General features: G+C 36.3%; 1 protein-coding gene across 1 annotated transcript, besides 8 other annotated features; it reads left to right on the top strand.

Annotated features, from left to right (window-relative positions):
• Positions 366–4,121: a matrix attachment site, noted in NCBI's record as "matrix attachment region; scaffold-associated region; SAR". NCBI's record gives the evidence for it as "EXISTENCE:fractionation evidence [ECO:0000100][PMID:8490185]".
• Positions 1,624–3,894: a DNaseI hypersensitive site, noted in NCBI's record as "3'HS1, includes at least three sub-sites; the nucleotide coordinates are approximate for this feature". NCBI's record gives the evidence for it as "EXISTENCE:in vivo cleavage assay evidence [ECO:0001075][PMID:8490185]".
• Positions 1,773–1,802: a protein binding site, noted in NCBI's record as "AP-1/NF-E2 binding site". NCBI's record gives the evidence for it as "EXISTENCE:protein binding evidence [ECO:0000024][PMID:8490185]".
• Positions 2,982–3,053: an enhancer blocking element. NCBI's record gives the evidence for it as "EXISTENCE:reporter gene assay evidence [ECO:0000049][PMID:11997516]".
• Positions 3,011–3,026: a protein binding site, noted in NCBI's record as "core CTCF-binding site". NCBI's record gives its function as "enhancer-blocking activity" and the evidence as "EXISTENCE:protein binding evidence [ECO:0000024][PMID:11997516]".
• On the top strand, positions 7,310–8,257 carry OR51V1 (olfactory receptor family 51 subfamily V member 1). The gene has a single exon (NM_001004760.3). It carries the CDS (start codon positions 7,310–7,312, stop codon positions 8,255–8,257), a length of 948 nt encoding a protein of 315 aa, NP_001004760.3.
• Positions 13,546–14,282: an enhancer, noted in NCBI's record as "0.7 kb HphI fragment F1 or core HPFH-3 enhancer fragment". NCBI's record gives its function as "activates embryonic and fetal globin gene promoters when juxtaposed next to them in transfected erythroid cells or transgenic mice" and the evidence as "EXISTENCE:reporter gene assay evidence [ECO:0000049][PMID:7537267, PMID:16720553]" and "EXISTENCE:transgenic organism evidence [ECO:0001131][PMID:7537267, PMID:12855570]".
• Positions 13,546–14,358: a biological region, named in NCBI's record as "hereditary persistence of fetal hemoglobin-3 3' breakpoint enhancer". NCBI's record gives its function as "regulatory_interactions: HBB-3'HS1 | HBE1 | HBG1 | HBG2".
• Positions 13,576–14,358: a mobile genetic element, noted in NCBI's record as "3' beta LTR similar to the ERV-9 enhancer upstream of 5'HS5". NCBI's record gives the evidence for it as "EXISTENCE:sequence alignment evidence [ECO:0000200][PMID:9878258]".

Genomic DNA, 15,236 nt, shown 5'->3' with positions numbered 1-15,236 from the left:
GCCTCACCTTTTTATGATCTAATAGCTACTAATTTCTCCACGCTGACGTTTACCACAGAACCTGGACATAGGTGTTGCACACACTATGATCTCTAATAAATAAATAAAATAAATAAAACAGAAAAAAAACGATACAAAGGGTATGAAGGATTGAGTGAATATGTTATATGCTACGGCACCAGTGGTCTTTCTGGGTATTGTACACTTGCCCCATTCTAGGACAATGGTTCCTTCTGATTAGTTACCTTTTCCAGTCTGAGAGACATGCCTGGCTCACACCTGATTTGTAAGGCAATGGAGATGGAGACACTCTTATATCCAAAAGTACATAGCTCCGGTAGCTTAGATAATAAACCTTTGTCACCTCTAGAGAATTCTAAAAATCCACAGATTTAGAAATTCTAGGAATCCAAGAAATTACAATTTTAGATCTACTACAATTTCACAATATAACAATAACCAATAAACACGGACATTTTATTTACATAAATAAAAGATGGGTTTGTCACACAATTTAAAAATCTAGGGTCGAAAGCCACAGCAAAGGCAACCTCCTGGCACTATATCACAATAGATGACACCTGCATAGAGAAAGCAAAGTGGTCATGTTAGTCACTGATTGCCTCAAATAATCCCTGTGGGGATGTCTACTCTTTTGTATTCCATCAGCTTTTTTCCCAGTAACAACACATCCTAGCAATAATATCCTGACGAGTTTCTATAAAAAAAAAAAACTCCCCTCCTAAGATACAGTATCTTTGTGGTTGCATCCCCAGCCATCCCTCATTTGGTTGAGGTTGGAATTTCAATGGGTGGGTTGAATTTTTCCCTAAACAAACTTGCCATGGTAAAATCAAGGCTAGCATTACTGTTCACACAAGGCACTGTGCTAAGATCCCCATCCTTATAGCAATGGGAGGGCTCATAGGCAAGTCATGTCATGCAGAGGCCATTTCATCATCCCTTCTTGTCTTTGGGGACTTGGGTCTCTCCGGTTGTATAGGAGATTTCGCCAGGCATTTGAATCCTTCACTGCTAGTCATCCTGGACTCTGTGGTGTACAATATCCATCTCTCCTATGTTCTGAGGTCAGAATGACCTCTCTCTTAACCAGTTGTCTGGGCCCAGGCTCCATTATTGATATAGTCATGATCTCCTCTGTTGGGGATGAAGTAGGCAAATTTGAGGCACTAATTTACTTCTCACATTCTTTTCTTGAACAGAAAGATAGAACTGGAAATTAATAGTAGTATATAAATTCAAAATTTTAGCTTTAATAACATTTAATCAGACATAAATAATTATGGTAATGTGAATTTCAATAAATAAATTTTAGTTCTAATATAAGTGTAACTGTGTAATATTCATACTTTTTCTGAAGGCTTTACTAATTTGATATGGCATTACTTTTTTATTGCTGCCAAAACTATTCTTATTCCACTGTGTGGTGATGAGAAAGTGAGAGATGTTCTGGAGATGGTGATTATAGATAGCTTCCCTGAAGCCATAGTAACCCCCTGGAGAAAAATTGGACCTGGAGTCTAGCAGCCTAGGTATGGGTACTCGATTTCTTAGAAAGCCTTTACAATTTCCTTTATCTTAAAAATAAGGGTATTGAAGTAGAATTCTAGAATTTTCAGAGGACAACTTAAAATATGTGTAATAGTTTTAATTATTTATCCTCATAAATTTAACTGTTCATTTTAATATATTTAAGGATGAATTTTTTAAAAAGTTGATTTCATAAAAACGGGAATAGAAAGATGGTTCCATAGGCTGACTGAGAGTGTAGAGGAGGGATGGGAAGGGAAAGAAGTTGATCTTCAGTTAGACTAGAGGAATAAGTTTTAGTGATCTCTCACACTGCATAGTGAACACAGTTAATAATATATTATGTATTTAAATTAAAAATTGCTAAAAAATAAATATTTTATGTTCTCACCACAAAAAAAGTTGGAAGGTGATTCATATGCTAATTAGCTTGATAGACTCTCTCTACAATGTATATATAGATCAAACATCACATTGTATCCCATAACATATTATATATATTATATATTTATATTATATATTATTATTGTATCCATTAATATATGCACTTATTATTTGCCAGGCAAATAAAAAATGTTTTTAAAATATAAATTTATTTGTAACCTCCTTTTACTTTTCTGCTTGGTTTTCTTCTTTCATTCAGTGTTTACCAGTTTCTTATAGTTAATTTTATTTTAAGCTGTCTCACATTTTCTGAAGAAAAGGGAACATATTAAAGCCAACAAAACAAATACACTATCTTGCATGAGATGATTTATGTCATGGTACAATCAAATGCTATAAATCTTATAAAAACTTCTCAAATGGTTAGATGGCTACAGTTGAACAGATGGACCATGTCATATATTTTTTATAATGCTTCTAAGGTATGGCTAATTTTTAAAAAATATTTTAGTAATGATGGGAATATTATTTATAGAAATCTTATAAAATATATAATGAAATATGTAATAAAGTCTAGATAAATGTGTATATACATAATATATATTTATTACATAATATATAATATATAATGTATATTTATATATTACATGCATTATATATTAAATATAATACATTTTATATATTATATATTAAAATATGTAATAATATGTTATTAAATATATACAATAATCTATTACATTTTATGCTTATATAATATATAATAAATATATAGTATATAATAAATATACACTATATATTTGTATCTATATATGTTTATAAAGTCATTCCTCTAATTAGGTCATAACCATTCAGGTAAACTGGAAATTTAAGCCTACTTCAGGTTTGTGGTAAATAGATTCTCTCTGAACTAGCATATTCAGAATCATTAAACAGTCAGTTCTTTGGACAAGTCTTATAGAATGTTCTTACCTCTTCAGCCATCCCAAGACTCTTGAGGGCCTGACCTCGCTTACACTAAAGCAGATCTGCCTTATGCATCACTGAAGTAGGGAGGGAAGAAAGTTTGATGAACTACTTCTGACCCCTAGTGGTGTCCAGAAAAGACCATTAAAGGAATGACCTTTAAAGGATGGACATACAATTTTTTGTCCAAGGCAGGACATGTGTGGGTGTCTTTCAGTAATTATGTTCTAAGAACAGCAAAAACTCCACTGCCTTGGCAAATAGGAATGTTTTAGTTCTATAGAATTATAAAGAAGCTGTCTTTTAAACACAATATACTTTCTCTATGTCTTTGGAACAATGACTATTGGTCATTACCCTATTTTAAAGTAAGCAAGTAATCACACAGGGAATTATTCTGAAAAGACAGAAAAAAAAAAAAAACCAAGAGATTTCTGCATATGTAGGTCAGTTTTAATCAGAGGGCATCAGAAAAGACTCCTGAAAGAATGACCTGGTTATTATAATCACAGATTTGCTTTCCAAGTCAACATTCCAGACAGTGCTCAGAGGGGATACGAAAACCCTTTTATTTCTCCAGACTCAAATTCACTGCTATTTGTCTTCTCTATTTATTTTATTATAGGCATTGTTCTGGTTGCTGGGAACTCAGACTGAGATACCATACACTGACTCTCAGATAGCATAACACAACATGATGTCTTGGAAAACTGTAAATCTTTTTGTTTTTTAAATACAGGTGGAGCATCTGGCACACCTGACATATTGATCTTGTTTTTCTTTAAATCTTCATTTATTTACCTTATCAAAACTATGCTCTTTCATCCTACCTTTCAAAACATATTTTAAAAAATCCTCCAACATGTATTTTGCTCTGGTAATCCCAAAAGGCTGATAGTCTCTATGGTGGCAACATGGATAATACTGTTCCCCATCTAGATGGTCTCATTTCTTCTGTATCTAGTCTGAAGAAGCCTGAATGAAAGTAGATTTTTAAGCTTTGTAGCTAGTCTGAAGCCTTTGTAGTCAGTCTGAAGAAACCTGCATGAAAATAGATTTTTTTTTTCCTTTGGGACAGAGTCTTGCTCTGTCGCCCAGACTGGAGTGCAATGGCGCGATCTCGGCTCACTGCAACTTCCACCTCCCAGGATCAAGCAATTCTCCTGCCTCAGTCTCCCAAGTAACTGGGATTACAGGAGCACACTGCCATGCCCAGCTAATTATTTTTGTGTTTTAGTAGAGACAGGGTTTCACCATTTTGCCCAGGTTGGTCTCCAACTCCTGAGCTCAGCCAATCCACCTGCCTCGGCCTCCCAAAGTGCTAGGATTACAGGCGTGAGCCACCAAGCCTGGCTGAAAGTAGATACTTTTAACACATACCTACATTCACAGAATATTAAATCTTTTGTGATCAATCCCAGATCCTTGACGATATGTCTGAGTCAGGCTGGAAATGAGAGAAATCATGTTTGAAATTGGAGTGTTGTATTCAAGGTCAGCAAGATCCCTGGAGCAGCATCTGTTTTATAAACCATTCAAACTTGGTATATGATGACTCAATTGGTGGCCAAAGGTCAGAAAAGACTAAGTGTACACAGATGATTTTACACACACTTTGATAGGAGTGTTCACATTCATATTATCTTTATATCTCTGTGATTGTCTAGCTCTTATTTCATAGAATAATTAATTAAAAATTATTTGATAAGTGCCCATTCTATGCTAACCCTTATTTTTCATATTCTTGAGCAAAAAACAGATATGGTTCCTAATCTTCTACAGCCTCTAATGAATCTAATGGAAATTCAGTGTATAATAAGTGGTATAAATATAAACTAGTATACTGTGATGAGAGTAAGTTAGTTAAGGGGGTTGAAGAAATGAGATAATCTAGGTGGGGAGCAGTATTAGAAAAATCCCCCTGAGGAAGTAATCATTTTAACTCAAAAGTTAATGGTGAAAGGAATTGCTGTGCAAATACTTGGGGTAGATAATTCGGAGCACAGAGAAGACCATGGGCAAAGATCCTGAGACATGCATGTACTTAGCTTGTTTTGAGGAAGATAAAGATACCTAAATATTAAGGAGTGTAGGCAGTAGTGGTCTAAAGATGTAATAGAAGAGGCAGGTGAGCCACGTTATACAAGGCTTTTTGACTATGATAAAGAATTTGTATTTTACATTACGAGCAATGGGTAAGTGACCATCAAAGAGTTTTTTCAACAAAGGTTTGTGTGATTTAGTAGATGTTTGTAGAAAAGCAATTTGGTTTCCCTGGAGATAATACATTTTTTAGAGGACAAACAGATAAATCATGATATTAGCTAGTAATAATATTAAATTATTATTAATTTAATAAATTATCATAGTAGCCAGGGAAACAATGATATTATAAACCAAGACGGGCAATGTGTAAAAGTGGGCCTATCTGGGATGTGTTTCTGGTAGAAATGGTAGAAATTGATGAAAGATTTGATGGAGAGAGGAAAGGGAAGGAAAGAGAGAAATAAAAAATTTTAAAAATGACTCAAGACTTGTCTTATGCAATTGTGTTATTGGTGGAGTCACTTTATAATATTAGGAGAAAAGGGACAGAAAATAGATTTTGGGGGGAAAATCAAGTACTTTATTGGCATCATTCTTATTTTAAGATTAAACACTCAGATGAATATATTAAATAGCCAGTTGTATTCATGAATTTGAGCTCTCAGGAGTGGTCAGGAATCAGAGGTGCAAATGTTAGTTTCAAATAATAAGAAAAAGTTGACATAGTCTGCACATTAAGGAACTGAGAATTTAGTTTGTAACAGAGATATTAGTTAAATATTTAGTTTAAATATTAGTTAAATATTTAGCTAATAAATACAAAATTATAAGTTTTATTTAAAATTGAAACATGATACCAAAATAATAGATATATGGATAAATTTGTCTTAAGAAACTTCTTGAAAAGTGATTGTTGAGTTGCAAGATCGTTTTAAAAAGGGTAGGAAGAAATTGAGGAAAAGATGATGAATAATTTAGGCAGATAGAACATTTCGAGAAAAATTTTACGAAAGAAGAGAAATTCGATTTAGAGAAATGAAAGAAGATACGTATTCAAAAGACTGAAAAATCCTCTGCAAGAAACGAAGAAACTTCAAGCATTCTATGGAGAAAAAAGTATTAAAAATAGTGAGCTAAGTTATTCAATGCTGAGAAGGAGTCAGGGCAAGAAAAACAATGGTTAGACTGCTAGAAGACGTCAGTGTAGTATAGAGAGTACATTGAGAAGAAAGTCTGTGGAACTGTGTTGTGAGGCTAATAAGACAAAGCTGAAAAGTAGGACATAAAGGGCAGCCCAAATCTGAAGTTACTTTAACATCTCGAAGTTACTCAATCAAACATGAAAGTATGGACTTTTGAACATCTGTTTACATTATTAGAGCTTTAAAAAAACTTATGATGATTCTCAGGTCTGGAACTTAAAGCAGGCAAACAATGTAAAGAAGAAGCCAATTGATTCTGCTACCATGAGGCTTTTGAAATTATAAGCTTGCTTGTTTGAGCCTGGCTTTGTGATCTGTAGAACTGCAGGTTCTAAGAAAGAAAACACAATTGGCCAATACATTGAATAAATGTATATTGAATAAATAGTTAATCAGCTCATTAACTGAATAAATAAAGGAATGGGAAGCACTGAGCTGCTATCAAAGGCTCAGTGTCTTCAATCTAATTCTCTACATCACAAAGGCACAAATGAGTTGAACATCTCAAGAGGCCAGAGCTCCAGTGAGAAATCATTTACCCAAGGTCTCATGCATAAATATTCCTGTCTGCTTATCACCAATGAAGAAAAAGTAATTGCTGGCTACGTCATCTGGAGGGGGAGAAAACAGGAGTATCTTCATTAAATAGTATTTGGAGAAAAAATATACTTGGAGACGGCACAAAATGGAAAATGACGGAAAAGTGACTATTTAATAGACTTATGATATTTAAAGCCCAAAGATTACTCTTCACTTCGAATGTTTAATGAATTGGAGAGAAGAAAATAATTTTTCAAGAACCTCGGCTCTTTACTGGTATAAAATTTTTACCACTATCCTTGGGAAAATGTCTAAGCAACGTATTTTTTTAAAACTAGCCTTCTCCTTTTACTAATCTCTTCCTTATTTGTTTTTGCTTATGGCTTCTAAGGATATGTTCACATCCAGACAGTGAAAAAATAATGACTTTTAAATGACATCAAAAGAAGACCATTTTCTCAAAGGCAATGGATACTATGTCTCAAAGAAACAGAATTTCTCAGCTGTTTTTTTTAAGTCAGTAAGTTTTAGGGTATTTCATTTACTTAGAAATTTCATTGTATTCAGGTGAAATTGAAACATTTCCTTTGAAAAAATACTCTCACATGTTTCTCAGTTCCAGAATGATTACTTCAGTAAGCCCTAGCACCAGCACGAATTCTTCCTTTCTTCTCACTGGATTTTCTGGCATGGAGCAGCAATACCCCTGGCTTTCCATCCCCTTCTCCTCAATCTATGCCATGGTGCTTTTGGGCAATTGCATGGTTCTCCATGTGATATGGACTGAGCCAAGCCTGCACCAGCCTATGTTTTACTTCCTGTCCATGCTGGCCCTCACTGACCTGTGCATGGGGCTGTCCACTGTGTACACAGTGCTGGGGATCCTGTGGGGGATCATTCGAGAGATCAGCTTGGATTCCTGCATTGCCCAGTCCTATTTCATCCATGGTCTGTCCTTCATGGAGTCCTCTGTCCTCCTCACTATGGCCTTTGACCGGTACATTGCAATTTGCAATCCACTACGTTATTCCTCCATCCTGACTAATTCCAGAATTATCAAAATTGGGCTCACTATAATAGGTAGGAGTTTTTTCTTTATTACACCCCCCATCATCTGTCTGAAATTTTTTAATTACTGTCATTTCCACATCCTTTCTCACTCTTTCTGCCTGCACCAGGATCTTCTCCGCTTAGCCTGTTCAGACATCCGATTCAATAGTTACTATGCCCTGATGCTGGTTATTTGCATACTGTTGTTGGATGCTATACTCATCCTTTTCTCCTACATCCTGATTCTTAAGTCAGTCCTGGCAGTTGCCTCTCAGGAAGAGAGGCATAAATTATTTCAGACCTGCATCTCCCACATCTGTGCTGTCCTTGTGTTCTACATCCCTATCATTAGCCTCACAATGGTGCACCGTTTTGGCAAGCACCTTTCCCCCGTGGCCCACGTTCTCATTGGCAACATCTACATCCTTTTCCCACCTTTAATGAATCCCATCATCTACAGTGTCAAGACCCAACAGATTCATACCAGAATGCTTAGACTCTTTTCTCTGAAAAGATATTGAGAGATATTGAGATGTATTGCCTAAAAAAAAGAAAGAAAAGCAGCAACAATAATAAACAAAAATCAGTGCCATAAAAAAGAAAAAATTATTAAAATTGTAGATTTACTCTGAGTCCATGACAAATGACCTTAAAAAATATTTAAATATAGTCAGAGAATCAACAAACAAGTTCCATTGTGTCAGCCTGGACACATGTAGGTCACTCTATCAGTCTGACCATATTTAAGAAAGAGGAAAAAATTGTTTATTTGCCTGAAATGTACTTTTGAGCATTTCCTTTGCTGTAAAACAAAGCTGGATTAAAAACCTAGGTTTTCAAGTTTCAAAGTAGAAAACTTGAAGTTTCTTTCATTCTCTGAGGTTTACTTAATTAACCTTCAAAATGGAGACTATAGCCAACTCACAGGAATGTTGTGATATCTGTATGGACCAGAATTGTCCAAGGGAACTTTTCTAAACTGATGGCGATGTTCTATAAAATACCATAAAATGGCTAAAGTGGAATATATGGCTCCTGTGCGCTTGAAATGATGGTAGTGTAATTGAACAACTGCATTTACAATTTCAGTTACTTTAAGTTAATTTATATTTAAATGTTTAATGTCCTTGTATTGGACAGTTCAGTTCAGCAGCCACTATATTGGACAGGGAAGCTACAGTTCATAAAGAGGACACAAAGAAATATGACTTTGGATTCAACTTCTACCATGTCTAATTTAAATTAGAATCCTTATTTTTTAGATTTTATATGTGGACTCCACTGCTACAAGGCTGGAAGCAGATTTTGCTCTAGATCTTTTGCTTTTATATCTAAGTGGGGGATCTTCTGAACAGATGAGACTGTCCGCTACCGACTTATTCTGAGTTTAAAAGAAAAAAGATAAAAGAACATAAAGCGGTTCTTTTCTAAGTAAGCTAGTGCAGCTTTCCAAAGAAGGAAAGAAAGGAAGGAAATCAGGTACAAAACTATGCATGGATAACAAGAAAATAATTGTTTTAATCTTCCTATATTCTATTAGGTATCTAAGAAGGTAAGTGTTAAAATTGGACAAATTAATGCATAAGAGTCATTTTACACCAAAAAGCAAATATTTATTTTTATTTTTAGATATCAACTAAAACAACCAGATTTGTCTTCCTGTAATTATGCCTTCCTTTCCTTTCACTTTGGACTTCATTCAATAACATAGCCTCTGTCTACTTATTTGACTCAGAGGGAAACAAAAATACAGGCTTTGGTTTCTAATAGCTTAAGCCTCAAAGTGAGGAAATTGTTTCTGGACAGAGTAAAGTATCTGGTTAGAAAGATAAGTGTAAAATTATTCCTAGAACAATAAATTAGGTCTTCTGGGTTACAGTATAAGGTTAATTTGAAGGATAAAGGAGTGAATTTCCTGATGTCAAAGAGGATCTAGTGCATCTTCTGGTATAGCTATCAGAAGTGAAAACTGTGAGGTAGGTTCTAGAGGGGAAAATGTCAATATATATATTTTTTACTATATAATCATAGTAGCTGCCGAGGCGGGCGGATCATGAGGTCAGGAGATCGAGACCATCCTGGCCAGCAATGGTGAAACCCCGTCTCTACTAAAAAAACACAAGAAAGTATCCAGGCGTGGTGGCGGGCACCTGTAGTCCCAGGTACTCGGGAGGCTGAGACAGGAGAATGGCGTGAACCCGGGAGGTGGAGCTTGCAGTGAGTCGAGATCACGCCACTGCACTCCAGCCTGGGCGACAGAGAGAGACTCTGTCTCAAAAAAAAAAAAAAAAAGAGAAAAAAAAAGAAAAGTTGATATGAATGTCAGGTGGTAGTACTGCTCCAGGTTCCCTAATGATAATAAATGTCTGCATGGTCCCTCCTGGCCGACTGGAATGTGGCCAATCTGACAAGATTCCTATGCCCCAGTTTTATAATGAAAAGAGAAGTTAGCTGCTGAATCTGTAGAGGTCATGTGAATGTCTCATAGATTTCTCAATGGCCAAAGAAGCTTCCTTCTAATGCTTTGAAAGTGAATAAGCATCCACCCTCCCATACGCCGGAGAGCTGACACAACACTGGGGAAGCAGAGAATTCTTCAACAACTGACAATATGTTTTCCACCAGCCACTCATAGGGAAGCATCAGAATGAATTTATATTTATTATTTGAACAATATTACATGTCTGACACAACTGAGTTGTTGGTTTGAGAGTTATGTTTAACAGGGAGAGTAGGAAGGCTCATCTGAAGACTTCATACTATGAGTGTTTGTGCTTCAGATTAGGCAACCTATAGAATGTGAACCAAAATAGTTTGAAATAATGGCCGTGACAAAACAGTTAATAAAAAATACCTAAGAGTATCCTCAGAAATCATTGCTTATTTTAGAGCTATATAATTGTACTATGATGATAAGATTTATGAAGAACTTCAGAATCTTTACAATTCAGCCAAAGGGAGGAAAATCAGTAAAAAAAAAAAAAAAAAGCCAATGAAAGTAAACTTTATATGATTACTGGGCTTTATACAGAAAGAAACAGGTTTAGAACATTAGTAGTTTAGATTGTTTGTTTTGCAAAGGCCTCTATCTGGAAGCAATTACTTAAAAAAATAACTAAACCTCTCCTGAGGAAGAAAAGGCAATTTCAGAGACATCAGCCCAGGTCCTGAAAGGAAGAGCAGATGGAGACATCACAGGTGTTTAAAACACTGTCTGTTTTGAAAAGCTACATAGTAGCCAGGTGGAGACATTTTTCCATATATCTCAAAAAGCCAGCTTCTAAGGAAACTTGTTTTCCATGAATTAGGCAACAACAGCTGAAACTGTTGTTGATGTGGTAGCCTGCAGAGCCAGTGAGAAGCAGTTATCAGATTCCTTTGTAAGGCCTGCAAGGCTACTATCCAGCGTCACTGAGAAACGTTACGAAAACAGCCACAGTGATGTTAGGGAAACACAGTTCTCTTTTGCCTTTTTTTTTTTAATAGGTAGACTGTCATATCATTGTAACTGCTGCCTTAAATGAAGTCACGGTTATTATAATAAGGAGAAAACAAAAATATTGCCGAGAACAAGGTGACAAAAGTAAGATTCAGAAAATCAGAAAGTCTAGTCCATTCAATTGCTATTCATTTAACTCTTACACCGAAAAGCTAAGGTCCAGTGGGAGAAATCAGTGATTCTTAGAAGTGAGAGGACATGATTCAGGATTAGAAATGTGTTTTTAGTAAAAATGATCTGCTAATAATAAATCCACAGGCAGATGTTCACTGTACACCAGCAGTCTTCAATGTTTTTGGTACCAGGGACTGCTTTTGTGGAAGACAAGGTGCAGGAGGGCATGGTTTCAGGATGAAACTGTTCCACCTCAGAGCATTAGGCATTAGATTCTCATAAGAAGCCGCAACCTAGATCCCTTGCATGCCTCTATGAGAATCTAATGCCGCCACTGCCGATGTGACAGGAGGAGGAGCTCAGGCAGTAATGCTTGCTCATCCCCCTGCTGTGAGACCAGGTTCCTAGCAGGCCACGGACCAGTACTGGTAAGTGGCCAGGACTGCTCTACACTATACCTCCCTATTTTCCTAGGCTTATCAAAATCGTATTGTTAAACAGACTTAAGAGATGTTCTACTTGAGGTTGTGTCTCCATTCCCTAGGATATTTGTTACCATTACTTGCAGAAGATAATTGCTAGAGTAGTGAATAGAGGCCTCCAGATGAAGGAAATAAAAATAGTCCATTTTCCCAGAAGTCTCTTGCAGAAACTTAAAAATTAATGCCAACCTAGCCAAGAACACCCCTGCAGTAGGAGTCGATGTCCTAAAGCTTTTCCAGTAAAAGTGTGGTTTCTGCCCCTGCAGTCTTGGCACCATGTAATGGCACATAGAAAATGCAGGCTTTCAGGTTGCAGCCAGAACTGAGGAATCAATCGGTGTTTAGCTTTTGAGATGCTGGTAATGTTCTCTTTCTTGGTCTGAGTGTTTGTTAAAAGCTTTTGCTAATTTTGTGTCAATTTAACAAACTGTACTTTTATTTATGTATTTTTCTGTACTGAATAATAAAATATAAATTTAAGAAATATGAGTGAAAGTGTCAATTTACATATAAACCTGGCAGACTGAATATGTGTTCATTTCTGCTACTTTCTCTAATCCACTAAAGCTATAGATGTACACAGAGACACTGTGAAGAAAATAGCACAATATGTATGAACAAATTGATAAGTATATACATTTAAATATGATTTTTTAAAAAACAGAACAGGATAATCTGAAATCTATATGTCTACAGAAAAGGATACCAATGAGAAAAAACGTTATCTGCAAAGAGCATTTTCTGGAAAAACACAGAAATTACTTATAAAGCATTCGTGAGGGGTAGGGCTAAAAATGGTAGAAAAGGTGAATACCTGTTTAAGGTTGCCTAAAAGATAGCCAGGTACTCATTTCTCTTTAGTTCTGGCAAAATGATTAGTGTCTGTAGTAACCAAATCAATGATGATCCAGACACTGGGAAATTCAGTGCAAAGGATGCCAGGACTAAGGTGTAATATATGAAACAGAGAGATTATGCAAAAGAATACATATTGAATGATGATAAACTGTCTCAAGAGAAAGGACTAATAGATATTGGCATTTGAGTATTCGCTTACTGGATTAGCTAGGCTTCTTTCTGATCAGCCTTCAAAGTAACTGGCCAGATAACTAATTGTACCGTGTTCATAGAAATCCCCACTATACTCTTTTTAAAATTATTTTATTTTATTATTATTATACTTTAAGTTTTAGGGTACATGTGCACAATGTGCAGGTTAGTTACATATGTATACATGTGCCATGCTGGTGTGCTTCACCCATTAACTCATCATTTAGCATTAGGTATATCTCCTAATGCTATCCCTCCTCCCTCCCCCCACCCCACAACAGTCCCCAGAGTGTGATGTTCCCCTTCCTGTGTCCATGTGTTCTCATTGTTCAATTCCCACCTATGAGTGAGAACATGCAGTGTTTGGTTTTTCGTCCTTGCGATAGTTTACTGAGAATGATGATTTCCAATTTCATCCATGTCCCTACAAAGGACATGAACTCATCCTTTTTTATGGCTGCATAGTATTCCATGGTGTGTATGTGCCACATTTTCTTAATCCAGTCTATCATTGTTGGACATTTGGGTTGGTTCCAAGTCTTTGCTATTGTGAATAGTGCCGCAATAAATTGCATTTACAAACCTTTAGCTAGACATGAAAGTTCTCCAGTTCCATATTTCATGGTGAGGAACAAAGAATATGGTGGGGATCCCCACTATATTCTTTGTTCCTCACCATGAAATATGGAACTGGAGAACTTTCATGTCTAGCTAAAGGTTTGTAAATGCACCAATCAGCAATCTGTGTCTAACTCAAGGTTTGTAAATGCACCAATCAGTGCTCTGTGTCTAGCTAATCTAGTGGGGACTTGGAGAACTTTTGTGTCTAGCTAAAGGATTGTAAATGCACTAATCAGCACTCTGTGTCTAGCTCAAGGTTTGTAAATGCACCAATCAGCACTCTGCCAAAACGGACCAACCAGCTCTCTGTAAAATGGGCCAATCAGCTCTCTGTAAAATGGACCAATCAGCAGGATGTGGGTGGGGTCAGATAAGGAAATAAAGGCAGGCTGCCGGAGCCAGCTGTGACAACTGACTTGGGTTCCCTACCATGCTGTGGAAGCTTTGTTCTTTTATTCTTCACAATAAATCTTACTGCTGCTCACTCTTTGGATCCGCGCTGCCTTTATGAGCTGTAACACTCACTGCGAAGGTCTGCGGCTTCACTTCTGAAGCCAGCAAGACCACGAACCCAGCATGGGGGATGAACAACCCAAGACAGGAGGAATGAGCAACTCCATACGCTCCGCCTTTAAGAGCTGTAACACTCCCCGTGGGGGTCTGCAGCTTCACTCCTGGAGCCAGCAAGACCGTGAACACACCAGAAGGAAGAAACTCTGGACACATCTGAAGTAACAAACTTTGGACACACCATCCTTTGAACACACCATCTTTAAGAATTGTAACACTCACCACGAGGGTTCGCGGCTTCATTCTTTAAGTCAGCGAGACCAAGAACCCACCAATTCCGGACACAGAAGGATGGACAAAGATTATCAGGAATGCAATTAAGTCCACCAACACAAAAATTACATACCTAGAATCAATTTTAATAAAGAAAACTTATTTGGAGCACAGCTTATTCAGGGCAGAAAATAAAAGCTAATAATAAAAGAGGTGCATAATAAATATTCTTAATTAAATAACCACTCATTTTAGATCCTTGATATTTGAACAGAATAGTATAAAAAATAGAGGGCATGATAAATAGTAAATAAAGCAAAAATATGAGAGATGAGATGAAGTAGCCAATAAGGGGGACAGGAAGTAGATTTAAGAGTGCAGAAAAAAAGGACAAAGGAATAAATATGGGGGGCATGGAGGAAAAAATAGGGTGAAGTCAGGAACTCCAAAATCTTAACTGGAGTTCAGGAGAGAGTGAAAATAGAACATGTAGAAGGAACTTACTAGAGATCAATACAAGACAATTTTCTGAACAAAAGAACACAGCAGTTGAAATTGAGAGTATCCACAAAATACCCAGAACAAAATAAAATAAAATAAAAATTCATGGTAAGTTAAGAGAATGAAAAAAACAAGCCACAGAGAACATATTTGCAAAACATATTATCTGATAAAGGACTTGTATACATATTATACAAAGAACTTTTAAAATTCTACAATAAAAAACAAACAATCCAATTGCAAAGTGGGCAAAAGATCTGAACAGACACTTTACCAAAGAAGATATATAGATTGCAATAAGCACATGAAAATATACTCAGTAACACATGTCATTAAGAAACTGCACATTAAAACAAGAAGATACCAACCACTACACACATATTAGAAGGCCAAATTCCAAAATACTGACATCCACCAAACACTGGCAACGAAGTGGAGCAACAGTAACTC

Source organism: Homo sapiens, chromosome 11 (genome assembly GCF_000001405.40).
Source record: "Homo sapiens chromosome 11, GRCh38.p14 Primary Assembly".
Lineage (NCBI taxonomy): Eukaryota > Metazoa > Chordata > Mammalia > Primates > Hominidae > Homo > Homo sapiens.
The sequence above is the reverse complement of the archived record's forward strand: the minus strand, read 5'-3'. Positions and strand labels throughout refer to the sequence as shown.